Below are 27,596 nucleotides of genomic sequence, written 5' to 3'. Positions count from 1 at the left end.
GCAGTGGTATGATCTCAGCTCACTACAACCCCTGCCAACCAGGTTCAAGCAATTCTCCTGCCTCAGCCTCTCGAGTAGCTGGGATTACAGGTGTGTACCACCACATCCAGCTAATTTTTGTGTTTTTAGTAGAGACGGGGTTTCATCATGTTGGCCAGGCTGGTCTCGAACCCCTGACATTCAGTGATCCACCTGCCTCAGCCTCCCAAAGTGCTGGGATTACAGGCATGAGCCATCATCCCCAGATCCTTTAATTACTAGTAATTTTCATAATTGTGTATTAAGCCAATATGTCAATTAAAGTTTTGTCACACATTATTGTGCACATAGAATAATTCATTTTGCAATATTGTAGGGGAGGAAAGGCCAGGTGTATTGGGAATAGATGCATCCCCTTCACACATTCACATCTGACTTTTAAAACTGCTTTCCTTGAGCAGAACTTTATTTTAACGGAATTGATCAGTCATCTTGACAGTGTTTTGGCTCTGAACATTAGCTTCTGAAGCAGTATTTTTACCCACTGGCTGTTTGGAGTGGTGGTGAAATGGGGGACAGAACTGATTTGACAAATCAAGTCAATAAAGCCATCTGACAAGATTCATTATTAGGCTGGGTGTGGTGGCTCACACCTGTAATCCCAGCACTTTGGCATGCTGAGGCAGGCAGATCACCTGAGGTCAGGTGCTCGAGACCAGCCTGTCCAATATGGTGAAACCCCATTAAAAAATTAACCAGGTGTGGTGGCGCATGACTGTAATCCCAGCTACTTGGGAGGCTGAGGCATGAGAATCACTTGAGCCTGAGAGGCAGAGGTTGCAGTGAGCCCAGATTGCACCACTGCACTCCAGCCTGGGTGACAGAGCAAGACTGTCCCAAAAAAGAAAAAAAAAGATTCATTATTAGTATTTTATTAATGCAGCGCAGGTCTTTCTTAGAGTTGAGCGAATCAGGGCCAAGACCCATTTTTTCATCACTTACTACCCTTCTCAAGCCTCAGTTTCCTCATGTAGTTACAGTGGGGTGTCATGAAAGACAGCTGCCTAGTCCTACCTTTCAGGGTTGCCTGGGACCTGAATGAGATAGTGGCAGGGCTTTCCTTAGGGTTCAAAATGCACCAAAAGTTACTATAGGCTTTGCTGTTCACGGGAAGCTATCATTAGCTTACAAACACCAAAAGATCTATCAGGCTTTTCGAGTACATGCCTGGAACAAGTATCTCCCAAGATTTACTAATCTGGCTAATAAAATAGAAATTAAACAGCAATTACCACGGGAGGAAAATCAGATGAATGTAGTGGTGCTTTACCTGAATATTAATGATGAATTAGGAGGTTCCATTCCAAGAATGTGGCAGGACATGCTTTATTGGTTCATCAATAAGGCCCTCATGCTAATGGACTGGCATAAAACATCCTCTGAGGAATCAGCCCTGGCTTTCCCACAAGAGACCATAAACTCAACATAATTTACATGGCACAAAATCTATTTTCTTCCAGTCTGTAAAACAGTAATGAAAAACACCAGGCTTGGTGGGAAAATGAGGATTTAATAGGTCATGGATGAGTATATCACCCCTTTCTTCATTAGGGTTGAAATTCCATGTAATTGTCAGGCCTAGCATTCCCTAGAAGGAACAAATAACATTAAAACACTGGTTTGCACAGGGCCTTCAAGATAAGGCTTATGTACACTGTCCCAGTGTTTGCCGGCCTGTGGGTCAGAGGTTCACATCCCTCGCCTGCTGACCCAGCTCCTAAAGCAGGACACGGGCCCACCGTGTTGCCATGTGTTCTTGCATCATGGCCTCTTCTTGGAAGCCACTGCCTAGTAGCTATTTGATGAGGGCTCCCAGACTCTACATCCTCCCCATGCTTCTGTGGGCATGTGGCAATGCTGTCCCTGATGTGCTGATGTCCCTCAGCACCTCCCCCTGCATGCTGTCCCACAGTATGGGGGAAGGTCCCCTACGCTGTTGAACCTGGTCACTTGGATCCCAGTGCATCCTGCTTGTGTGCAGACTCTTAGCAGGCTTCAGGAACTTCTTGGGCTTTACTATATCTCCTCTCTTCTCTGAGACTCAAGACCAATTCCTTAAACAAGGTTGGGTGACAACACTCATGATTGTCCTCATATCTCCCTTCTTCCCTCTGCCCCTCTACAAACAAACAGATTAATAAATCCTATTTTCCTTCAGCCAATAAAACGAAAGCCACTTTGTATAACAATCTATGAACTCAATGCCTGCGTGAATAACCAGCCCATAACCAAAAAGAGGGACAATAGCAAGTGTTGGCGAGGCTATAGAGAAATTGGAACTCTCCTACACTGCTGCAAATGTAAAATGGTGCAGCCACTTCGGAAAACAGGTTGGCAGTTTCTCAAAATATTCAACATAGAGTTAATGTATGACCCAGCAATTCAATTCCTGCAGACATACCCAAGAAAATTCAAAACGTAACATCCACACTAAAACTTGTACAACATGTTTATAACAGCGTTATTCATAATAGCCAAAAAATGAAAGAACCCAAATTTCCATCAGTTGATGAACAGGTAAATAAAATGGTGTATATGCATACAACGGAATATTATTAAGCTATAAAAAAGAATAATACATGCTACAACATAGATGAAACTTAAACATATTATGCTAAGTTAAAGAAGCCAGGCATAAAGGCCACATATTGTGCATCAAACAATATTGAAGCCTCAAAAAGGCTGCCGTACTCTCAAATACTTCCCACCTACTTTCTGATGCCTGAAATTCCACTGTGGAGTTGGATTTTTGGCTAAGTAGTTTAATAGTTTGCTCTCACCTTCCACATTCAAGGGGTACTCTCTGCAACCAATCTTGTCTCTAAATGAAGACTAGTATAACACAACGCATTCTCCCTTCAATAGGTGTCAGACTATAATGGTTTGATGGAAGAGTTGCAAAAACAAAAACAAAAACAGAAAGAAATTCTGCATTTGACCTGAAATCAGAGGTTGTTTACTCTCCTTTTCTGAATTTGAATAGAAAGTTTGAAAGACATCAGACATGTTGCACCACTGCACTCCAGCCTGGACAACAGAGCGAGACCCTGTCTCAAAAAAATTTTTTTAAATAAATGTTTAAAATGAAGGATACCAGATATGCATGTGGCATGTAGTAGAAAATGCAATGAAACTTGTAAGTGTGATGTAGTCATTTAATTGTTCAAAATTTTGTTGGAAGCCTCTATGTACAAGAGATAGGGCTCAGAGTCACCTGGAAAAAGGCATTATTGATAAGAAAAAATAAATGGATTTTGGAGCTGAAATGTCTAGATTTGAAGTCCACTTCTACACATGACTTTGAGCAAGTTATAGAAGCTTTATGTGTGATTTCTTCACTTGTAAAATGGGGATAACAATAGTACCTACCTCATAGTATAATTGTAGAAGTTAAGTGAATTAATGCATACAAAGCTTTGCTTTTTCCTTTTTTAATAGAGATGGAGTCTCACTGTGTTGCCTAGACTGGTCTGGAACTCTTGAGCTCAAGTGATCCTCTCACACTGGCCTTCCAAAGTGCTAGGATTACAGGCATGAGCCACTGCCCCCAGCCTGCAAGCAAAGCTTTTAGAACATTGCCTAGCATATATTAAGCATTAGTTGTTGTTTTTTCTTTTCTTCTCTTTTGAGACAGGGTCTCACTCTGTCACCTAAAATGGAGTGCAGTGGGGCCATCATGGCTCACTGAAGCCTCGACCTCCCAGGCCCAAGTGATCCTCCCACCTCAGCCTCCAAGCAGCTGGGGCGGCAGTTGTATGCCACCACACTTGGCTAATTTTTATTTATTTTTTGTGGAGATGGGGTCTCACTATGTTGTCCAGGCTGGTCTTGAACTCCTGAGCTCAAGAGACCTTCCTGTCTCAGCATCCCAAAGTGCTGGGATTACAGCTGTGAGCTACCATGCCCGGCCAGTTGTTGTTTCTGAGGATGGTGACGGAACTGCCCTGAAGTTAGTTGCATCCTTTCCATGGAAGCCTGTTGGGAAAAGTCTAAGAGGCCTAAAGTTGAAGTGAACAGGTGAGCTCTCTTCACCCACTACATTCCCTCTACTTTCCCCAAAGCCTGTGTTAGGCAGGCCCCAGCCCAATCAGAGGCAGGTGGATCTCGGAGTGTGGCATGTTCTGAGCCACTCAGAGCTTTTTTGATAGGTTCCAAAAAAAGAGTTACAAAGGGTGGCCCCAGAGCCTGGTTGTCTCTTCTCCAGTCCCAAGATAGATAGTTTGCCTCCAATTATCCCCTACATCATGACAAGCATAAGGAGAATTGCAAGGAACATTCTGGACTCTACTCTTATGCCCTTCTTTATAAGCAGAAGAACCAAATCTTGGCACTGTTTTTAGTACTTTTGGCCAGTATGACAGAACAGGACACTAAGTGGCAATCAAAATAACCCTTCCCACCCCTGGCCCTATCACCCTATATCATGTTGCTAATTTCTCCGCTTTGAAGAAAATCTTCTTCATTGGAGAAATGAAGCTCTGTTGCTCATATACTTGTTTGTTGGAATGTTGACTTGTTTGCATTGTAGAATAAGGGCTCCAGGAGGGCAGGATCCTTGTCATCTTCCTTGTTACTGCTGTAACCCCAGCATCTGGAACAGTGCCTGTTACACAGTAGGCACCCAGTGAACATTTCTGGAATAAATGAATGGTACCCCAGTGCTCAGCACTGTGCCCTTGCTGTTGATGGGCTTTTGCCAATGATCACCTCTCAGTCTCCAATCCTCCCTGTTGGAATTTGTATCCTGGCTTTCCCTCTGAGCCCCTGCTTCTGGAGCCCCTGAACAGTGAGGGGCAGATCAGAGGACCTCCCTATCTCCCCAACATCATCTACTTGTACCTGGAATTGACTCTTCCCCTATGCTAAGACATTCATCATTTTTTTAGAAATTTGGGTTTGGGACTCAGAGACTCTGGTTCCTAAGTCGAAGTCAGTGCTTAAAATGAGAGAGTGGAGTGGTCTGGTCTCATGTATGATCAAAGCAGAGGAGCCTGTATGCAACTGAAGAGAAGAATAAAACTAACTGCAGAGAGGATGTGAGGAGATGAGAGGAGAAGAGGGAAGTAGGGAGAGAGCGAGAGAGTCTGGGCAAGTGAACTTGCTGATTTGAGTGTGCTGGTTTTTCAGTTTTTCACCTAGTCCCTGGAGACCTGGCTGTACTCTTCCAGACATACTTCCAGACTTGGCTATTTCTTTCAATTCACATTAGTTTGGTTGGTTTCTATTTCTTGCAAACAAATAATGTCTAATGACAAAATCCTACCACATAGGAGCCATCCTCAAAATATTTGCTGACTTGAATGCATTTTTCTTTTTTCTTCCCTTTTCTTTCTTTCCTTTTTTTGGAGACAGGGTCTTGCTCAGTCGCCCAGGCTGGAGTGCAGTGGCACAATCACAGTGGCTCACTGTAGCCTCAACCTCCTGGGCTCAAGTGATCCTTCTGCCTCAGCCTCCTGAGTAGCTGGGACTACAGGCACACACCACCACATCTGGCTAATTTTTTTATTTTTTTATGTAGAGACAGGGTCTCACTACATTGCCCAGGCTAGTTTCGAACTCCCGGGCTCAAGTGATCCTCCTGCTTTGGCCTCCCAAAGTATTGGGATTACAGGCATGAGCCACCACGCCCGGCCACATATTTCACTCATTCATTTGTTAATTTAGCAAGTATTTATTGAGCTGGTCTCTGGGCTAAAAGGTAAAGGGACACAGATATGCAAAAACTAGACACTGTCCTGCCCTTGTGGAATTCTAGCAGGAATGACAGCTATTAATCAAATAAAGACAAGAAGAGACATAATGAATTTAACTTTGTAGCACATGCTGCCTACTATGTACCAGGAATGGTGTTGGGCTAAACAAAGACACCTAAGCCATAATTGAGATGATGGACAGCATGGTCTGCTCAGAATAGGGAATACTCATAATATTGTTTATTGAAGAGCTGATACATACTTTATCTGATTTTACCTTCAAAATGATTCCATGAGATTGGTTTTAGAATATGCCCATTTTATAGGCAAGCTAGTAAAACTAGGCCTCGCCAGGGTTAAGTGACTTATCCAAAGTAAACAAGGCCCGCCGGGCGCTGTGGCTTATGCCTGTAATCCCAGCACTTTGGGAGGCCGTGGCGGGTGGATCGCTTGAGCCAGCAGTTTGAGATGAGCCTGGGCAACATGATGAAACCCCATCTCTACTAAAAATAACAAAAATTAACTAGGCATGGTGTGGGTAGTTGAGGATGCAGTGAGCTGTGATGGCGTCACTGCACTCAGTCTGGGTGACAGAACAAGACTGTCACCAAAAAAAAAAAAAAAAAAGAAAAAAAGAAAACGAGGTTGGACAGAGGCAGAGCCAGAATTGAAAGGCAGTCTTCTGTCTCCAAAGCCCAGGGTTTTTCATTTTCCTCCTCCACAGAATATTGCCTCTTCCATGAGACAGTAAGTGTGGAAGAATAATACACATCGTACAACCCTGCAGAAATGAGGCAGAAGGCATCCAGGCAGGACTGGGCTGTGCTATTTTTAGGATAATCTCTGCCAAAACAATGCAAGCAGCAAAGGAAAGAGGAATTTAATCAGCTCCCTCTGCTGAAGCTACTACAGTGTGGGTCTCAGCGGGTCTATCTGCAGTGCTGTATAAATGCCCGGGGTCTCGCAGGGAGACAGGGTGGATGGCTGAAGTTTGTGAGATCTGCGGTCTCATACCCAAATTGCCCAGACAGCCAGGGTCTGGTGCCCGAGTTTTATATTCAGGCACTGCAGTGAAACGATAAACAGCCTGGTCACAGAGCTTCCCAGACGCTCAGACCAGAATCAACCAAGCTCATCACAGCTCACGATTACGTGAAAGGACTCGGCTAAACCACGCACTCCTGACGGAATCTTATTTTCCTCCCCTATCATCTCACATTACGGACAGAAAGGATAGAAATAACCTTCTCAGAGCTGTGAAAACGAATGTCAATAAAACCCCCAGAGCTCCCTCGGTGCTTTGGAAGCAGTAACACTGTCTTCAGACAAATCTTTCCTCGGAAGAAGACAAGATCGTGAACTAGCTGGGGTTTTCATTTGGCTTTACAAGACCAAGCCCAGCAAGGAGCAAGGGGAAGAGCTGCCAGGGCTTTAGCAGCCCGAAATATCTCCACACCCACTGCTGGTGCCTGAAATTCCACCAGGAGACTTGCATTCCTGGCTCAAGATGTTGCCTTTCGTGATGCTATTTCTGGACTTTGCCTGGGTTCACACCTGAAAGCACACATTAAAAGAAATTCTGCGCATTCTGCGGTTGTGTTTCTCAAAGCGCGGTCTGCAGAGCCACCTGCATCAGCAGCGACTTTATCAGATTAAACATCTAGATGACTGGACCCCACTCCAGGCTGGAAGAATCTATACTTCAGGGAGTCAAGCTTCAGGAAACTTCGTTTTAAACAGGCACTCCTGTTAATTCTTAAGGGCAATAAAGCTCGAAAACCATGGTTCTATACTGTGTGTTTTCCTATCAGTATGCCCGAATACATTGCACATAAATAACTGGTTCTAACATCTTGTCCCTCTAGATCAAGTGTTCTCAACCTCAATGCTATCAACATTTTAAGCCCAGTGATTCTTTGTGTAGGGGAAAAGAGATTTTTCTGTGCATTATGAGATGTTTAGCACCATTCCACTAGATATCAGTAGTAACACCAAAAGTTATCAGTAGTAATTTTTGGTCGTGACGACCAAAAATAGCTCCAAGCATTGCATTGATAAATGGCCCCTGGGGAACAGAAAATCCCCTCCTCTGGGGAGTGAGAAGTATGTTTTAGGTAAATGGCTCCTAGCCTTAACTACACATTAGAAACCCTCAAGGGTCTTTTAAAAACTTGGATCATTGGGGTCCTGCCCCAGGAAACTTATTTTACAAATCTAGACATCTATATTTGTAAAAATTTCCCAGGTAATTCTAAACGGCCAGAGTTGAGAACCACTGCCCTAGGTGGATGCTTGAAGGCAAGGGTCCATGTATGTGTTTGTGATTTCATGGAATGTACAAACACCCAAGGCACAAGATGGGATTACTTGAGCACCTGTGTACCATCAGGACCCAGCTAGGACAATATAAGCTACCACTTCTGAAGCTAGCAAATAGACAACGTCAGCCAAATAAATTACAAATTCCCTCCCACCCTACCCCAGATATAACCTAAGTTAGTCAAATTGTAGTTAAGACTAGACCTTTTCTTGACGGCTGGGGGAATAGATGATTTTATTTCCACTAGATGATACCATATGGAGATGTGACAGCTGGAAAAGCTGATATCATTTTGCCACCATCAAGGAAGTCAGCCAAAAAATGAAAAGGACACTCCAAGGAGGGCAGCACCAAGAGAATCACAGAGAAACAGAGCTGGAGACTTGGTGAAATTGTGTCTGAATTCCAATCTGTCACAGGCCTCTTCATTTGCAAAATAAATCACCCTTATTTTTTAAGTAAGTCATTTTGATCTGGGGTTTCCCTTACTTGCAACCAAAAGCATCCTCATTGATGTATTGCTCGAAGCTAATATCCTCTTGCAACTATGTTATATTGCTAAGAGTCTTGCTACTCAAAGTGTAGCCCTTGGGCCAGCAGCCTCAAAATCACATGGTAGCAGTTTAAAATGAAGAATCTCAGGCTCCTCTCCAGATCTACTGAATCAGAAGCTGCATTGTAACAAGATTTTCGAGGACTGGTACAAACATCAAAATTTTAGAAGTACCTGCTTAGATAACGGATCTCTCAAGCACTGGGCTAGGTGATAGGGAGACAATGATAAGCAAAAGCTGGACATCGTTATTGGCTTCCCTAATTTGATTAGATGCCCTGTTACATACTCAGTAACACCTCTATTTCATCCATCCATTCATTCTTTCACTCATTCTACAAAGATATATTTAGCACTACATTTATAAATTTAACAAAATTTAAAATATTTAAAAGTGAGCAAAAAAAGAGAGAGGGGAATAGTCCCTATTCTTAAAAAGCTCACTGTCTATTTGAGGAGACAGTTATCACTTATTCACATAAATAAATGTTAAGTGCCAATTATGTAACTACTACACTGGAGAGGTACATGAGGCCTGATCAGGGTGGTCAGGCACAGTTACCCCAGGAAGACCAGAAGGGTGTGTTGGAAGGATGGGGATGGTAAAGAGGAAAGTACCCAAGTCAGAAGGAGAGGATGATGTGTAAGTCCCTCCATGGAGAAAGGAGCAGGATTAACCCAGTGAGCTGCCACAAGAACAGAGAGCATGGGGTGCAGAGAGTTGGGCATGGAACTTCATGATGAGCTTAAAGGGGTGGCTAAGGGTCAGGCTGTGTAACACATTACAAGCCAAGTTAGAGTTATTTTTTTCCCTTGAACCGCAAACTAATAGAAAGCAAGTGATGCATTTAAATACATTGCTTGCTAGCATGGCCCAGCTCGTCTCTTGGTAGTGAGACACAACCTGAGCTGGGCTCCCAATGCCTTTTGTTCTTATCTCCCCCACTCCCTGCCCCCTGCTTCCCTCGTAACCTAGCAGAGTAGACCAGCTTTGCTTAGCATGCCCACAGCCCGCTTGTTATTGGAGGTGGTAGGCAGAATGGAGTAGTGGAGTAAGGCTGACTTGGCACATACCTTCTTTGCTATGAGTGCCACAATGGCAGGAACTACATGTAACATCGTCATCACTCTGCACTCAGCACTCCACAGCATTCCCTGGCCCAGAGAAGGATGTGAAAAAATATGTGTTGGGTGAATAGCCTAGCCTAGGTTCCTTAACTTTAGTGAGGCTCAGCTTCCTTGTCTGTAGAATAGCATAAGGACAGTACCTGCTTCCCGGTGTGGCATTAGAACGTGACTATGTAAGTACATAGCACAGTGCTAGGCACCTGCCCCATGTGTCCCCCATTCCATACAGGCACAGACACCCAAAAGGGACCCCAAAGGAAAGACAGTAGGAGCAGCTGGGTTCCCACTACCAGCCTCTGCAATCTAAAACAGAGGGTCTATCAAATATCCAATAAGTCCTGAAAAATCCAGATGATTTTGTGAATGGATGAAGAGATGTCTTCATTTACTACTTCTTATACTTCTAATGTCCAGCCAGTCCAGGGGACAAGCTACTTCATTTACTATTATCTCATAGCTTCTAATACAGCCCAAACTCATCCTGTTAATTACTGCTCCTCCAAGTGCCATGATATATATATATATATATATATATATATATATATATATATATATATATATATCTCATTACATATATATATCATGATATATATATTTTTATATATATCATTATATATATTTTATATATATATATATATATATCATTATATATATATATTTTTTTGTCTTGAGATAGAGTCTTGCTCTGTTGCCCAGGCTAGAGTGCACTGGGGTAATCTCAGCTCACTGCAACCTCCGCCTCCCAGGTTCAAGCCATTCTCATGCCTCAGCCTCCTGAGTAGCTGGGATTACAGGTGCCCACCAGCATGCCCAGCTAATTTTTGTATTTTTAGTAAAGACAGGATTTCATCATGTTGGCCAGGCTGGTCTTGAACTCCTGACCTCATGAGATCTGCCCTCCTTGGCCTCCCAAAGTACTGGGATTAAAGGTGTGTGCCACCATGCCCGGCCTATGTTATATATTTTTTAAAGTTAATACTTTTGTTGTTCTAGTGGCTCAATCACTACCTTTTAATAAAGTCACCTTTGTACCTTTAGATCTTCTGGTTTGGGAGCTTTGAGACAGGACTTTGACATGGCCAGAATTTCCATCTTCTGTGTCTTTGTATTGATCCATGCATTAGGAGCCTATGAACCTTGAAAAGCCCCACGTTTGGTCACAGAATAAACATAGGTTGGCCAAGCAGCACCTTCCCTAATCTTTCTCCTCCCCACCCATGGACTCTGTCATATGACCTTGGATAAATTACTTAACCTGTCCATATCTCAGTTTCCTCAACAGGAAAACAAGGATCACAAGAGTCATGGTGGAATGGTGAAGAGCTAAGTGACTTGCAGTGTGCCTCAGACAGTCCAAGACTGTGCCTGTTATCCTGGTGTCATTATCAAATTGCCCCAATCTAGAGGATAAATTATATAGTTATCTTATTAGGAGCACACATTTTACAGTTGAGCAAAGGTTTGATTTGAATGACAATTTAGTCCCTTAGTGTCATTACTTGACCTCTCTGTACCTCAGTTTGTTTACCTGGACAATGGCAATAATCATATGTTATTTTCTTCTAAGGGTTATTATAGGAATAAATGAAAACAAAACACGTAAGAGCACAATGAACTCTAACTGCTATTACCCTCAGCCTCCACATGGGAGGTTCTATTAGTCAGGACTGTCAGTTTCAATTGTGAGAAATATACCTCAAAGTAACATATGAGGCAAAGAAAATTTGTTGGCACATAAAACAGATGTCTGGGGTTTTGCTAGCTTCTGGCTGCTAGGGTCAGGTGCTTGAATTATGTCATCCCTAACCTGTGTTTTTCTTCCATCTTTCAGTTCTTTTTCCCTCCATGCTGGCAATATTCACCAAAAGGCTGTCCAGGGTGAAAAAGTTAGGCACTCCTAAGCTGCCTAACTCCAGCTCCTGAAAGCTCCAGACTTAACATAATCCTGACAGTTCCTGATAAATAAAGAGATACTTTATTTTCTAGAGTCCATGTCACTCCTTGGAAAAAAAACTCTGAGTGGCCCCAATGGGTCATGGACCCACTTATCCCCATGTCCACAGAGATGGGGCATGTTGTTTATCCAGCCTGAGTCACACCGCACCCCACAGCAAAGGAAGCAGGTGCTCTTGATTACATCCTACAGTGTTGGGGAGAGAAGGTTCCCCAGAAGGAATAAAGGATAGATTTTTAAAAACTAACAGATGGCTACCATGTCTGTCCTTGACAAATGATTGTTAAGATGCATTCAAACCCTAATGCTCCTATGTTGAGAAAGTGGTCTCTGGTAGACACGTAAAGTTTATTTTGTCCAGGCACAGTGGCTCATGCTTGTAATCCTAACACTTTGTGAGACTGACACAGGAAGATCACTTAAGCCCAGGAGTTCGAGACCAGCCTGGGCAACATCTCTACATTTTAGAAGATCAATTCTATAAAGAACCAGGAAGAAGAAAATGAAGGAATAAAAGGAAACTAATTCCTTTTTCAATATGGTAGAAAGGTATGAGAGGTAACTCACAGCTGAGAATGTATCTTCACAATGTGCTGTCAGCACAGCTTATTCTCCATTTATCCAACACATTCATTGTCCTTTGCTCTTCACCATGCCCAGTGAGTCAAGGCCAGCCTCTTAGGAGGGCCTAAGGCTTTCACTGGGTTGAGACTAGGAGGGAGAAAGGAAAGCTAGGGTGCTTCCCCTCTGTCCTCAGCCCTCCATCCTCGCCATGGTCCTGTCAGCCCCAAGCTTTCCCCAGGCTCTGGAAACATGTTCCCATTCCTTTTGCCTTTGTGTCTACGGGTGGTAACAGCTTCCCAGTTCCTAGCCCCTGGGTGCTTTATCATGCCCTGGTGGTTCCTTAACCCTGCTCACTTCTCTCCACAAATGTTAAATTCCATTTGACTCTCCTTTTTTAAAAATCTTGAGTGTCCCCATCAAAAAGTGGGCAAAGGAAATGAATAGACATTTCTCAAAAGAAGATATACAAATGAAGAACAAACATATGAAAAAATGCTCAACATCATTAATCATCAGAGAAATGGAAGTTAAAACCACAGTGACATACCACCTCAGTCCTGCAAGAATGGCCATAATTTAAAAGTCAAAAAACAGCCGGGCATGGTGGCTCACGCCTATAATCCCAACACTTTGGGAGGCTGAGGTGGGCGGATCACGAGGTCAGGAGTTCCAGACCAGCCTGGCCGACAGGGTGAAACCCCATCTCTACTAAAAATACAAAAATTAGCTGGGCATGGTGGTACACGCCTGTAATCCCAGCTACTGGGGAGGCTGAGGCAGGAAAATGGCTTGAACCCAGGAGGCGGAGGTTGCAGTGAACTGAGATCGTGCCACTGTACTCCAGCCTGGGTGACAGAGCAAGGCTCTGTCTCAAAAAAAAGAAAAAGTCAAAAAACAATAGATGTTAGTGTGTATGTGGTGCAAAGGGAAGGCTTTTACATTGCTGGTGGGAATGTAAATTAGTACAACCTCTGTGAAAAACAGTATGGAGATTCCTCAAAGAACTAAAAGTAGATCTATCATTCGATCCAGCAATCCCACTACTAGGTATCTACTCAAATGAAAAAGATATCATTATATTTAAAAGGACACATGCACACACATTTATAGCCGCACAGTCCACAAGTGCAAAGATATAAAACCAACCTGAGTGTCCATCAACCAACGAGTGAATAAAGAAAATGTGGGTTGAGCATGGTGCCTCACACCTGTAATCCCAGCACTTTGGGAGGCTGAGGTGAGTGGATCACTCGAAGCCAGGAGTTCGAGACCAGCCTGGCCAACATGGTAAAACCCCATCTCTACAAAAAATAAAAAATTATCTGGACGTGGTGGTGAGTGCCTGTAGTCCCAGCTACTTGGGAGGATGAGGCGGGAGGATCGCTTGAACCCAGGAGGTTGAGGTTGCAGTGAGCTGACATCATGCCACTGTACTCTAGCCTGGGAGACAGAGCAAGACTCTGTTCTGAAAAAAAGAAAAGAGAAAAGAAAAGAAAAGAGGGACGGGGAGGGCAGGGGAAGGGAGGGGAGGGGAGGGGAGGGGAGGGGAGGGGAGGGGAGGGGAGGGGAGGGAAGGGAAGGGGAGGGAAGGGAAGGGAAGGGAAGATACATCGTGGAATACTTCTCAGCCATAAAAGGGAATGAAACAATGTCATTTGCAGCAACTTGGATGGAGCTGGAAGCCATTATTCTAAGTGAAGTGACTCAGGAATGGAAAACCAAATACTGTATGTTCTCACTTATAAGTGGGAGCTAAGCTACTAGGCCGCAAAAGCATAAGACTGATGTAATGGACTATAGTGGGGAGAGTGGGAGGTGAGTGAGGGATAAAAGACTACATAGTGAGTACAATGTACACTGCTTGGGTGATGAGTGCATTAAAATCTCAGAATTCGCCACTACAAAATTCGTCCATGTAACCAAAAACCATTACAACCCCAAAGCTATTGAAATTTTTAAAAAAATCCTGAATGTGCCATCTGTTTATAGCCAAGACTTTGACCCATTAATTAGAACTAATGTAATTTATTAGAATTTGAATTAATGTCATTACAGTTACATTAGAAAACTAATGCTTTGCTTATATTAGTTTTCTCTTCCCCCCATATGTACAAATAATACATATTCATATAGAAAAAATATGAAAATATAAAAAAAGCAGAATCTTACCACCTAGATGTGATGATTACTCACATTTTGGGATATAACTTTCCATATTATATTCTTTGTGTGTAAATACATATACACACAGGTTTTTTTATATAGCAAAAGTGGAATAATTATTAGATTTTTATCTTTTTTTTTTTTTTGAGACTGAATCTCGCTCTGTCACCCAGGCTGGAGTGCAGTGGAGTGACCTTGGCTCACTGCAACCTCTGTCTCCCGGGTTCAAGCGATTCTCCTGCCTTAGCCTCCCAAGTAGCTGAGGTTACAGGTGCCTGCCACCACACCCGGCTAATTTTTGTATTTTTGGTAAAGACAGGGTTTCACTATTTTGGCCAGGCTGGTCTTGAACTCCTGACCTCAGGTGATCCACCAGCCTCAGCCTCCCAAAGTGCTGGGATTACAGGTGTGAGCCACTGCGCCCAGCCAATTATTAGATTTTTAAACGGAAAATTCTCAAAAATAAAATATGTGTAAAAACGGTCTACTTTCATGTTAAACAGGTAATAGAAAGTTAATGTTTTTAGATTAAACTTTAATCACACAAAAGTTAACTTTATGTTTGTAGAACGTTATTATTAGTTATTTGCTTTTTTTCAAAACAATTACAAAATAATTACTTTTAAAGTTTTCATTTGTAAACAAAACACTCTGAAATTTTACTCAGGCGAGGAAAAATAAATGTGAGGAATATTTTTGGATTTGACTAGTTTTCAGCGATTTTCTTTAACTGTCATAATAGTGGGGAAAAAAGAAAATTGAAATAAGATGGAACACCTTCTAATTTCTATTTCCATCTGTTTATTTAGCTTTAAATGAGAATACAAAATTTTTCCTAGGCACTTCACTTTTTATAACTTTAAAAAGTTGCCAATACTGATTAGTATTTAAAAAAAAACAAAAGTTATATATTGTACACTCTGAATCAAATGCTGATTCAGCAATGCTTTTTAAACAAAGCAGAAGGATTTGGGACCCTGTCCCCTATCAAGAATTATCTTGTAACTAGACTCCCTTGCATGGCTGAAACCAATCACAAATGCTATTCTCACCAGTTGGTACTTCCACAAATGCAATAAATTTGAAGGCCACTTTAGAACCTGATATGGTGTCCTTTGAAATAAGTATGACTGCCTTTATTGGCCCAAGTTATTCAGAGTGATCTAGGATAACAAAGTGTTTATCCACCAGAACGACTGGGAACATTCACTCATGCAAACCTTATGAGCCGTTCAGACTCCATGTAATCATTTATGTGATCTGGTGTCTTCACTTTCTCCTTTCACATGATATTCATTGCTCCTCTCTCATAGCTTCTAATATTGCTCAGAGAAGACAGGGGAAATATAGATTTTTTTTTCATTGTTAATAAACAGTCCCCAGCCCCATTAATTCAGTTTTCCAATCCATTGATTTTACAGTAATTCTTAAGGGATTTCTTCTGGCATGCATCATTTCTCTGACTCACCCACCACTCCCTCGTGGCTCTGAAAAAGTCTCAGCCTGGATGTAAACCTTACTTCTTTGGCGTGGCCTTCCTCAGTTGCAAAGAGAACTGCTAGGTCAGCCAGACATCTGACTCTTTCACCTATGCAGTTCTTGTAAATGTTGTCTAGAGTCATGATCTCCACATTTTCTCAGAACTTTATGATTATTAGAGTTTTGAAGTCATGCTTAAAGAAATAAAAAGACACTCAATGAGTTAGCAATGATTGCAATGCACTGTCTACTCCAGTCAGTCTAACATCTGGTGGGGTCCATGAACGTGTGCACAATGATCACTCTATTTTCTCAGCCTCGGTGCAACCTCCTTTACTTCCAGGACTTGGCTCTCAGAAACCTCACATTCTGCATACATCCCAGTAGACAATCTTTGGCATTATGGTATGCTTCTTACCACTCGTTAGTACCAAATTGTACTCCACACACACCACAACCAGCTAATCCTCAGCTCAGCATTCTGACAGATACTCTGTGTTCTCAGTTGATGCAAAATAAATTGTACCCAGTGGGCAAAATCTAGGCCCTAACTGAGAAGTGCTTGGGGAACACCAGTGTGCTATATCATGCTCACTGACAACCACGGGTCTAGAGTTTGATGTTACCAAGACTGATTTTCACTGTCTTTATTCCAAAAAAGAGGCCCAAATCTTCCTCCAGGATTGTGGTGTTAGAAACTGTACTTACACTCAGGCTAAAGATAACCCAGTTCCAGCCACAGTGACATTGTTTTGGTTCCTGAACTTGCAGGCTTGCAGTCTTGGCTCAGTCTCTTCCCTCTGCTTGGATACGCTGCCCAGAGATCTTGATACAGTTGGTTCCTTGTTATCATTCAGGTCTCAGCTTGAATATGAGCTTCTCATAGAGGCCTTTCCTAACTATTGAAAGTAGCTCACCCACTTATATTTGTTCTCTATCATATTACCCCACTTTGTGTATTCATGTGTGATTAACATCTGAAATTACTGTATTTTCTTATTGTCAGTGTTAGCTTCACAGGCCAACAAAGTGTGCAGTCTCTCAGGACACTGTGCCTACTTAGAAGGACTCCCCACTTGGTTTAAGGCTTTGCTGTTCTCATCTTAAAGTTATTAATTTTGTTTTTGAGACAGGGTCTTACTCTGTTGCCCAGGCTGGAGTGCACTGGCACGATCTCAGCTCACTGCAGCCTCTGCCTCCCAAGCTCAAGCAACCCTCCTATCTCAGCCTGAATAGCTGGGACTACAGGTGTGTACCACCACCCCCAGCTAATTTTTGTATTTTTTGTAGACATGAAGTTTTGCTATGTTGTCCAGACTGGTCTCGAACTCCTGGTCTCAAGCAATCTACCCACCTTGGCCTCCCAAAGTCCTGGGATTACAGGCGTGAACCACTGTTCCCAGCCAATAATTTTTTTTTTAAACGAGGGACCTCATTTGCATTTTGCATCACAAATTAGGTACCATTCCTGCTTATTGTTTATTGCCTTTCTCTTTGATATTAGAAATTAAGTTCCAGAAAAGGAGGGATCTGAACTTTTGGCTCAATAATTGTGTTGCCAGCACGTAGAGCACTACAGGGAACACTGCAGTTGCTCAGTAAGTATTTGTTAAGTTCAACAGAATTGTCACATGACCCAGCAATTTTGCTCATAGGTATATACCCAAAATAATTGGAAACAGGTGGTGAAAACCATACCTGTACACAAATGTTATACCAGCACTATTCACGATAGCCAAAAGGTAGAAACAACTTAAATGTCCATCAACAAATGAATAGATAGACAAATTGTGTTATGTTCATACAATGGATATAATGGATAATGGCAATTTTTTTTTTTTTATTATTCAGCCATGAAAGAAAATTGTAGGAGAGGAGAGATTTATTTTCTAACCCATTGCTAGGTTCATAGCTGAGGCGCTTGCAATAAAAGACAGCTTAGGCTGGGCACAGTGGCTCACATCTTAATCTCAGCACTTTGGGAGGCTGAGGCAGGAAGATCGCCTGAGGCCAGGAGTTCATGACTGGCCTGGTCAACATAGTGAGATCCCATCTCTACAAAAAATAAAAAGAAAGATTGGCCAGGCATAGTGGTGCTGCCTGTAATCCCAGCTACTCAGGAGGCTGAGGTGGGAGGACTGCTTGAGCCCAGGAATTTGGGGTTACAGCAAGCTAAGATCACACCACTGTACTCCAGCCTGGGTGACAGAGGCAGACCCTGTCTCAAAAAAAGAGAAAAAACAGCTTAACAAGAGAATAGCATACAAATTTTATGTGATATGGGAGACTTTTTAAATGAAAAACCAAAAAAACAGGGAAACCTATGCATTTTTGTGCTTAGGTTTGATGACAAATGGATAGTCAGGCAGCAGTACCATTGGACAAAAGGGGTGTAAACTGATAGTAATCAACTAGGGAGAATTTAGCAAGGCCTGTTTGTTCAGGTTCTTCTCCGAGTTCCTGTGTCCTTAGAGACAGGGCATTTTTCTCTGAGTATAGTGTGGCCATCTCTGGAATGAGGGCCTTATGCCCTACTTCAGGAGAAGATAAAAAAAAATTCTTTTATAGTCTACTTCAAAGGTGAAGGGTGGGAGGAAGGTCAGAGAGAACTTCCTGCTTCTGCAGTGTTCTCAAATGCCAAGGTGCCATATTTTAGGGTAGTGGGTCCTGAACACCATCAGAATGAAGTACTGATACTGATACATGCGATGGCCTGGATGAACCTCAAAAACATTACACTAAGTGAAAGAAGCCAGACACAAAAGATCATATCTTCCATGATTTTATTTACATGAAGTGTGCAGAATAGGTAAATCTAGAGAAGCAGAAAGCAGATTGGGAGTCACCCAGAGGCTGGAGTGGGGTTGGGGAGTAACTGCCAAATAGGTATGGGGTTTAATTTTGGAGTGATGAAAATGTTTCAGAATTGAAGACAGTGGCTGCACAATATTGTAAATGCACCAAATGCCACTGACTTGTTCACTTTGAAATGGTTAATTTGTGTTATGCAAGTTTCATCTCAATTTAAATAAAGGAAAGTGAAAATAAATAAATATTTGTTGAACTACATATTGATAGAACTTGTTTCAGAACTCTCTGCCATGACTAAATCTAAAGTATTCTTAATCCAGCCTAGGGCTTCAACAACTTCCATCCACAGCTTTGAGTCTGCAGGAAGAAAAGAATACATTCAAGACCGGCGCAGTGGCCCACGCCTGTAATCCAGTACTTTGGGAGGCCAAGGTAGGCAGATCAAGTTGAGGTCGGGAGTTCGAAACCAGCCTGGCCAACATGGTGAAACCCTGTCTCTAATAAAAAATACAAAAATCAGCTGGGTGTGGTGGCATATGCCTGTAATCCCAGCTACTCGGGTGGCTGACGTAGGAGAATCACTTGAACCCAGGAAGTGGAGGCTGCAGGGAGCCAAGATCATGCCACTGCACTGTAGCCTGGGTGACAGAATAAGACTCTGTCTCAAAAAAAAAAAAAAATTCACACTATTTCAAAGATTTGCTTTCATCAAGATGACACAGGACATCATTATCATCCTCATGACAATCCTATTTCTATTAGTTTTTTGTCTTATGCAATTATTTGAAAACTTTCTTTGGTAGGAGTTGAGTGTGGTGGTACATGGCTGTAGTCGCAGTTACTTGGGAGGCTGAGGCAGACATATTTCTTGAGCCCTCGAGGCCAGACCACATATGCAGCAAGACCCCAGCTCGAGAAAATTAGAAAAAAATATTTGGTAATTATTGAAGATGTACATGTAATTATAAAGAATTATACAGAGAGATCTCGTGTGCCCTTCACCCTGTTTCCCCCAATGCTAACAACTTGCAACACTATAGAATACTATGGCAACAAAGAAATTGACATAAATACAATCTGTCTACCTCATTTGGATTTCACTGTTTTACACGTGCTCATTTGCGTGTGTGTGTGTGTGTGTGTGTCCTGTTTCTATACTGAAGTGTAACAATAGCTCCTTTCAGTACTGTAGTCTGTTGACTAGTAAGAAATTTCAGAGAGCTGGTGGCACCACCACAGTAACCACAAGTAAGTGACCCAGAGCAGAAGTTAAAAGCAAGAAACATTTCTAAAGTCTTGCAAGGGACTTGGCAGTCCGGAACCTGTTAGTTCAATCATGCCTTTGACATTCACTTGACCCTTTTAGTACTGCAGTTGTTAAAAGGGCTGGCATGCATTTTGTTTAATTCAACAGATGGAGGGATGTGATACAGTAAGAATTCCTTCTGTCATCTGAGAAACTGGGAAATTTGAAAGTGTAAACATAGAGTGGTAGCATTAAAAAGACAGGTGCCGATAAGGTAGTTTTACTTATGAAGAATATTTGCTAGTCCTGCCTGCTAATAGATTTAACTTGGAACAGAAACCTCAGGTGAATGAACAGATTTACGGACATTTTCTAGTTTTTACCTCAGCGTGCATCCTGTATGTTAGTTGAATTCATTCGAAGGTTCTAGTGAATGATCCTTTCTGAAGTGCACTGGTTGAAGGATTAGAAATCCCATTTTGCCTACCTGGCTTCCACACCACCTTCCTGTGTTAGTAGCATGTGGATTTTTTCTTTGAGGAGCCACCCTCTCCTAGTCTAGCTGTCTTGGTGATGCTATCCACAAACTCCACCAACCCCTGCCCTAAACTCAGGGCTCACAGGATGAGCACATGACTCAACGGAATACACATTCCATTCTTCCACCTCTAATCATTGGTTCAGAAAAGGCGCATATCCAAAATTGGTCAAGAGATGTAATTCCTGATCTTTTGCTAGAATAACAAAGAACCTCTTTCCATTGTACTTGCAAGTGTTAATACATAGGCATGGAGCATCTGAACACCAGTAATGAGAGCATCCTGCAAATGAAGCCACCATGAAAGAGAACAGACCTGACAGCCATTCTGAGCACTAGAACCAGCCATACCTGAAGCTCTGATCTCTCAGTTCCATGAGCCAGTAAGTTAGTAAGTTAATTACCTTTCTTGATGTGCTTAAACGAATGAGGTTTTTGGGTTTTTTGTCACCTACAACACCTTGAGAAGGATCAATAGCAAATAACATCTATTAGGTTAAGCTTGGGGCCATAAATCCTTAAACTAATTTAGTGTTTATGCTCTCATCATTCAATAATTCCCTTATCTTTTCATCTAGTCTGCATTACTGCCTGCAATAATTTGCCTGACCCACGGCTTTAGCGCTTAGTGTGAAAGAAGTAACTCAAGTAGAGTAAACAAATGACACTGTGAGTACATTAATGCTTCTGACCCTATAATGTCATCTTTTAAATAGGTTATGCATGTGTAACACTGCAGCCGACCATCTGTACTGCTTATCTAAGTTCTGTAATGAAATGGCCAGGGCCCTGTTTATTTATGTGATACAGGCAGCCTCCCTCTAAATCTAATTCAATCTTCAGTCACTGTTTTGTAGGCTAGGAGCTCTAATGACCGCGAAAGAAATGTGTGCTGCTTCAGATGATGCTATTAAAAGAAACTTGTTCCCAAAGAAATTTTTATCTCCTGATAGGGGGGAGCTAAATCACTATAAATTATGGAAAAGGAAATTGCAAATGTATCTTGCTTTCTTTTTATTGGAGGCATTGTTTTCTCACAACTGTCAAGTAGAGCATACACCTATTTTGAAAAGCTTTTAACAACTTTGAATTAAGCAAAAATGGAGAAATAAGAGGCTGCAGAATTAGAGAAGCTAATGCAACCCTGCTTTGCAAAGCAAAGGCAGGGTTTCACCATTCCTTTTTTATTCACAAATGGCACTATCAAGGAGGTGGGCGGGGTGGCACAGAAGGTGAAACAGAGAAAAGCAACAGCAAAATACAGTAAAGAGAAGTGAGATCATCAGGAGAATCATAAGAATCTTGAAAGGAAAAGCTGAGAACTTTAGAATTTCATTCTCCTGGGGCAGAGGAAAAGAGGATGGGGAGGGGAGGAGGACAGGAGGGGTGGGGCAGCAATTTGAATTCGTTTCAACTGAATAAGTAATCAATCAATCTACTCCTGTTAGTGTGAACTTGGATCTTATAAAAAAGAATCTCAAAAAGAATGACTGTTTGTCTTTCCTGTTCATCACGGGGGATTTCAGTGGACTCAGGACCATTACTATTCACATTAATCACACAGTGGCTGTGCTCAGCAAAGCCAGCAGAGGGAGTACAAGATTAATGGGTGGCTTCCAAGCTTTGCCAAGGAACCGATGCCCGTATCCAGGACCTCCCAATACGGTTTGTGAAGAGGAACCTCTGGCTCTCTCCCATGCCTCCTTCCTTAACTGCTTCCCTTCATCTCCCTCTTCCCCTACCCCAATACATCCCTACCCCCCCTCCCCCTGCATCAATCCTCCCACCAAATTGTCTGATTTGTCATTTGGAAACATTTTACCAGAGAATTCACAGGTTGACATTCTGTTGGCCAACCCCATGACAGATGGGAAAGAAAGGCCCCAATGTAGGTCAAACAATAAAAATCATGCTGGATGGATTTTGAGTGCCAAGCAAAATCTAACCTTAGGAGAAAATAACAGGTTGCAAAATTGCATGTGTACTAGGATCTCAAGTGTATAATATTTTTAATTATAGAAAAAAAGAGAAATTTATCAAATTAAGAATGGTTGCCCTGGAGTGTGATGTGTCTGAAGGGGGGTGAGATTTGTGGGATGATTTTTTTCTTCCTTCATTGCATATTTCCATACTTCAGATGTATACATTGTATACGATGTATACATTGAACAGCTTTGATCACCATAGGAAAAATAAAACATTATAAATGCCCATGTTTATTTTACGTGTTCACATGCAATACTCTCTGTTTAATAATGCCATAGAAAATGTTCATGTGGGCCGATCATGGTGGCTCATGCCTGTAATCCCAGCACTTTGGGAGGCTGAGGCGGGTGGATCACTTGAGGTCAGGAGTTCGAGACCAACCTGGCCAACATAGTGAAACCCCGTCTCTACTAAAAATACAAAAATTAGCTGGGTGTGGTAATGCACGCCTGTAATCCCAGCTGCTCTGGAGGCTGAGGTGGGAGAATCGCTTGAACCTGGGAGGCAGAGGTGGCAGAGAGCCAAGATTGGGCTACTGCACTCCAGCCTGGGTGACAGAGCGACACTGTCTCAAAAAACAAAAAAAAGAAAAAAGAAAATGTTCATGTGACTATACTAACTAGCTTTGCAAAGGAAAGAAGAAAACAAGCTCTTATGGAGTCCTAGGTGCTAGGAACTGTATTAGGAGTTGGGGGATAACAAGATGAGTTAGACACACTCTGACCTCAGGAAGCTCACAGTCACACAGAGCATCTTATTCCCTTCTCACAATGACTCTATGAGTGTCTTAGGCCATTCCTGCTGGTCTCACAAAATACCACCAACTAGGTAATTCATAAACTATAGAATTTTTTTTCTCACAGTTCTGCAGGTTGGGATGTTCAAGATCATAGTGTGGGGCTGGGTGTGGTTGTTCATGCCTGTAATCCCAGCACTTTGGGAGGCCAAGGATGGTGGATCCCCTGTGGTCAGGAGTTTGAGACCATCTTGGCCAACATGGTGAAACCCTGTCTCTACTAAAAATACAAGAAATTACCCAGGCCTGGTGGCAGGCCCCTGTAATCCCAGCTACTCGGGAGGCTGAGGCAGAAGAATTGCTTGAACCTGGGAGGCAGAGGTTGCAGTGAGCAGAGTTTGAGATCGCGCCATTGCACTCCAGCTCGGGCGACAAGAGCAAAACTCCATCTCAAAAAAAAAAAAAAAAAAAAGAAAGAAAATCACAGCATAGGTAGATTTGGTGTTTGGTGAAGGTCTGTTCCATAGATGGTGATTTCTCATGGCATCCTCACATGGTGGAAAAGGTGGCAGGAAAGAGCTCACATCTATTAGTCAAGCTATTTAATTAATGATTTCCTTTATCTCAACTGATTTTTAACTGAACTTTATTTTAAAAGAAGCTTTGTGCTATTATCATAAATGCAAATCAGAATTATTTTCAATAAATAAGAGATAACCATAAAGTAAGCAAAATAAAAACAAAAATTTATATACTATTGTTGAGGAAGCTCCAACTCTCTTTGTTAAGCTCTCTCTTTGTTATGAAAGGGAGACTAGCAAGTATGAGAGGGACATAGCACCTCACTGAGGCTTTCTTCTTGAAATAAACAGAAGGTCTTAACAAGTCCTGAAAGGGAAAAGCTTTGTATACAATTTAATGCATACTGTAAATGACATGGAGGCTTTGAAAACACAGTACTACTTGATGCAAAGCCAAGAGAAATATCCCAGTCAAAGCAGAAGAGAGAAACCTAGCGGCTGAAAGCCAGAGCTTAGGTGAAAGAATGTATAAATCAAATTTCACTACCATGATTGTTTTGGAAATATAAGCATCAACTGGAACATGAAACTAAAAGCCATCTTTTAAAATACAAAAATGTTATTTCTTAGTGACGAGACAGTGCAATGAGTTAGAATACCATTTTAGAAATGAAATAGACATGGATTCAAATCCAGCTAAGCTATTTATTACATGCTCACCCTGTTTTTCTCCAAACTTCAATGTCTTCATCTATAGGCCAATGGAGAGTGATAAGTAGTTTTTAATTATAAACTGGCCATTTGTGTATCTTAGGTTAAAGGATAATTTTCCCAAAAAGGTAAAATCATGACTATCATATAGACATAAAATGAACATCTGGAATACATTTTATTTAACTCATTACTAATGAGTGAACCACCGAAATGTTATCATTCATTCAAAGGAGAAGTCCAACAGCAGATACATATATAGATGGGAACACTGAAATAAATTTGCAAGTAGACACAAAACTGTTTATTTCCACAATAAGAGAGGAAAATCAGTTGACTGTCCGCAGGACAGAATTTCCTTGCATGATTATGAACAAGAAATATTTGCATTACTATTAGTTTTATCATCAATTTCTGAATTGTTGTGATCAATACAGAAATCTATAGTAAAACACTTTTCAAGTTAACTTCTATCTCAACAGACTTGTAAAATAGCTTAGCCAAAGACCAAGATGTATATCCCTGTAGGATTACGTGGTCTCTAAAGACAGGTATTTCATTGAAAGAATATCCAATGTGAATATTCCAAAAGAATATCTCTTTTATTTATTCCAAAGTCTTAAATTTTGCCTTATACTTATGTTAAGACTGGATCTGTAAAACTTACCTTTTTACTTTATTTTTTTATTGAGACAGGGTTTTGCTCTGTTACCCAGGCTGGAGTGCAGTGGTGCCATCAGGGCTCACTGAAGCCTCAACCTCCCAGGCTCAAGAGAGATCCTCCCACTTTAGCCTCCCAAGTAGCTGAGATTACAAGTACATGCCACCATGCCCACCTAATTTTTTATTTTTGGTAAAGAATAGGTCTCACTTTGTTGCCCAGTCTGGTCTCAAACTCGTGAGCTCAAGCAATCTACCTGCCTTGGCCTCCCAAAGTGCTTAGAATACAGGCATGAGCCACTGTACCCAGCCAATTGTTCACAATTAACAATTGTTCACATTAAAATATTGCCAACATTAATGATTCTGTAATACTGTGATTAACTAATTGGAGAGATGGAATACATGAACTTTAAGGCCGCTTCAAATTCTACAACTGTAGGATTTGAGCATGTAACGTATTACAATGTTTATATTTTACTAAAGCTAAGTTTCAGAAAGATTAGGAGTAAATTGAAAATCGCCCTGAAACAAAGTTAAAAACATTTCTGAAATTCAAATGTAAGTTAATTAAAAGTTGATAATACAAAAACAAAATTAAAAACAATTTTCAGTAAAATTTGAACTTTATAAAACCAGGCTTTTCCTTATTTAAGAAATATTGACAGGCCGGGCATGGTGGCTCACTCCTGTAATCCCAGCTCTTTGCGAGGCCAAAGTGGCTGGATCACCTGGGGTCAGGAGTTCGAGACCAGCCTGACCAACATGGTGAAACCCCGTCTGTACTAAAAATACAAAAATTAGCCCGACATTGTGGTAGGTGCCTATAATCCCAGCTACTCGGGAGGCTGAGGCAGGAGAATCGCTTGAACCTGGGAGGCAGAAGTTGCAGTGAGTCGAGATCACGCCATTGCACTACAGCCTGGGTGACAAGAACAAAACTCCGTCTCAAAAAATAAAAAAAAAAATAAAGGAAAGAAAAGAAATATTGACAAAGGATGACAACTGTCAAAGAAGAAAAGTGACAAAATCTCCAACTCAGTGTCCTGATCAATATGGAAATTGATGGCAAAACATTTCCAAGACTTTTTCCAAAGACATGGACATGATTTTTAGTGATTTTTAAGTCATTCCTTTGCAAGTCCTTAAACGCTATTTCAATAACAAAAAGTACTGTTTTATAGTGAGAAAGGTAACTAAAGATACATTCTCTAAGCAATTAAGGTAACTTGAGGGTGTTTGGAAGTTGATTTCTTAATTTCATCGTGACTCAAACTCAGATTTCCAGTGAAGTTCTGCAAGTCTGTCAACATTTTCCCACTGGCCCCAGATTGGCTGGTTCTTATTTTTGGTGCGGGGGCACTTCTCTGTGACAAACACACAACTCAATGATTCTCTCTTCGCCATTTATACCACCCAAGCCCTCAGATAAACTTAGTGAACCCAGCAAAGGAATTCAAATAACATTTCCTTCTATTCACAAAAACTTCAACTTTTATGTTCAGTAATTAATGGTGCTGTGTAACCAGGGCTAACATTACAAAATAAGGGCAGTTATTATTTACTGCGGCCATGTAATAAAGTGTCAAAGGTTATCACAACAGGATATCTGTGTTTAAATGGAAAGAGATAAAAAAGACCAAGTCAAACTAGTTATCCCTGTTTTGTTTTTCCACTGGAGGGAAGTCTGTTAAAATAACTTCTAAATAGCTAAGTTGCAGTCTCAGCACAAATAGAAACTTTAATGTTCTAGCCCTTCTTTCCTTCCAATTGTGGGTGGCGCTGAGTATTAGAAATAAATCTAATTGAGTACCTGCAATGTGAAGATGCATTTTCTTTGCGTCTTTTCATGATCTGTATGTAGTACGCATTTTCATTCCATCTTATAGAACGAGGGTAGCTAAGTTCTAGAAGCAATCTGGAAACAGATGTGATGAGCCCGTGTTAATGGCTGGGCAACCATGAGCATGAACTTCATCAGGGCTCCACTCGAACCGCCTTCTCTCTGCTTTCAACTCATGGCCTTGCTTTCTCAGATCCCGCTACCATTTCTCAATATAATTCTAACTGCCATCATCTCAGCCCTTCATCCTTGTATTTATGGAAAGAGGTACAGCTTTTGGAAAACCACTGATTCCTCTCCCTGGGCTGATAGATGAAGACAGGGAAGCTCTGAGAGCTTCAGGTTACATATACAGTCATGTGTTGCTTAACCACCAGGATACTCTTCTGAGAAACGCATCATTAGGGGATTTCATCCTTGTGCAAGCAACATGGAGTGTAAGTTACACAAACCTAGCTAGTATAGCCAACTACACGCCCAAGCTATATGGTGTAGCCTATTGCTCCTAGCTACCAAACCTGTACAGCATGTGACCGTCCTGAATACTGTAGGCAACTGCAACATAGTGGTAAATATTTATGGATCTAAACATGAAAACAGAAAAGCTACAGTAAAAATATGGCATGAAAGCTCAAAACTGTCCACCTGTAT

The 27,596-nt window shown here is 41.6% G+C and overlaps 1 protein-coding gene across 1 annotated transcript in view; it reads right to left on the bottom strand.

The window, feature by feature from the left end:
- SLC25A26 (solute carrier family 25 member 26) overlaps positions 1–27,290 on the bottom strand; it is a 245,318-nt gene extending 218,028 nt beyond the window's left edge. The window contains exon 1 of the mRNA NM_173471.4: positions 26,916–27,290. The gene's annotated coding sequence lies outside the window, so the exon portion shown is untranslated. The remainder of the gene's footprint in view (positions 1–26,915) is intronic.

Source organism: Homo sapiens, chromosome 3 (assembly GCF_000001405.40).
Source record: "Homo sapiens chromosome 3, GRCh38.p14 Primary Assembly".
Classification (NCBI taxonomy): Eukaryota; Metazoa; Chordata; class Mammalia; order Primates; family Hominidae; genus Homo; species Homo sapiens.
This window is presented reverse-complemented; position numbering and strand designations above follow the sequence as displayed.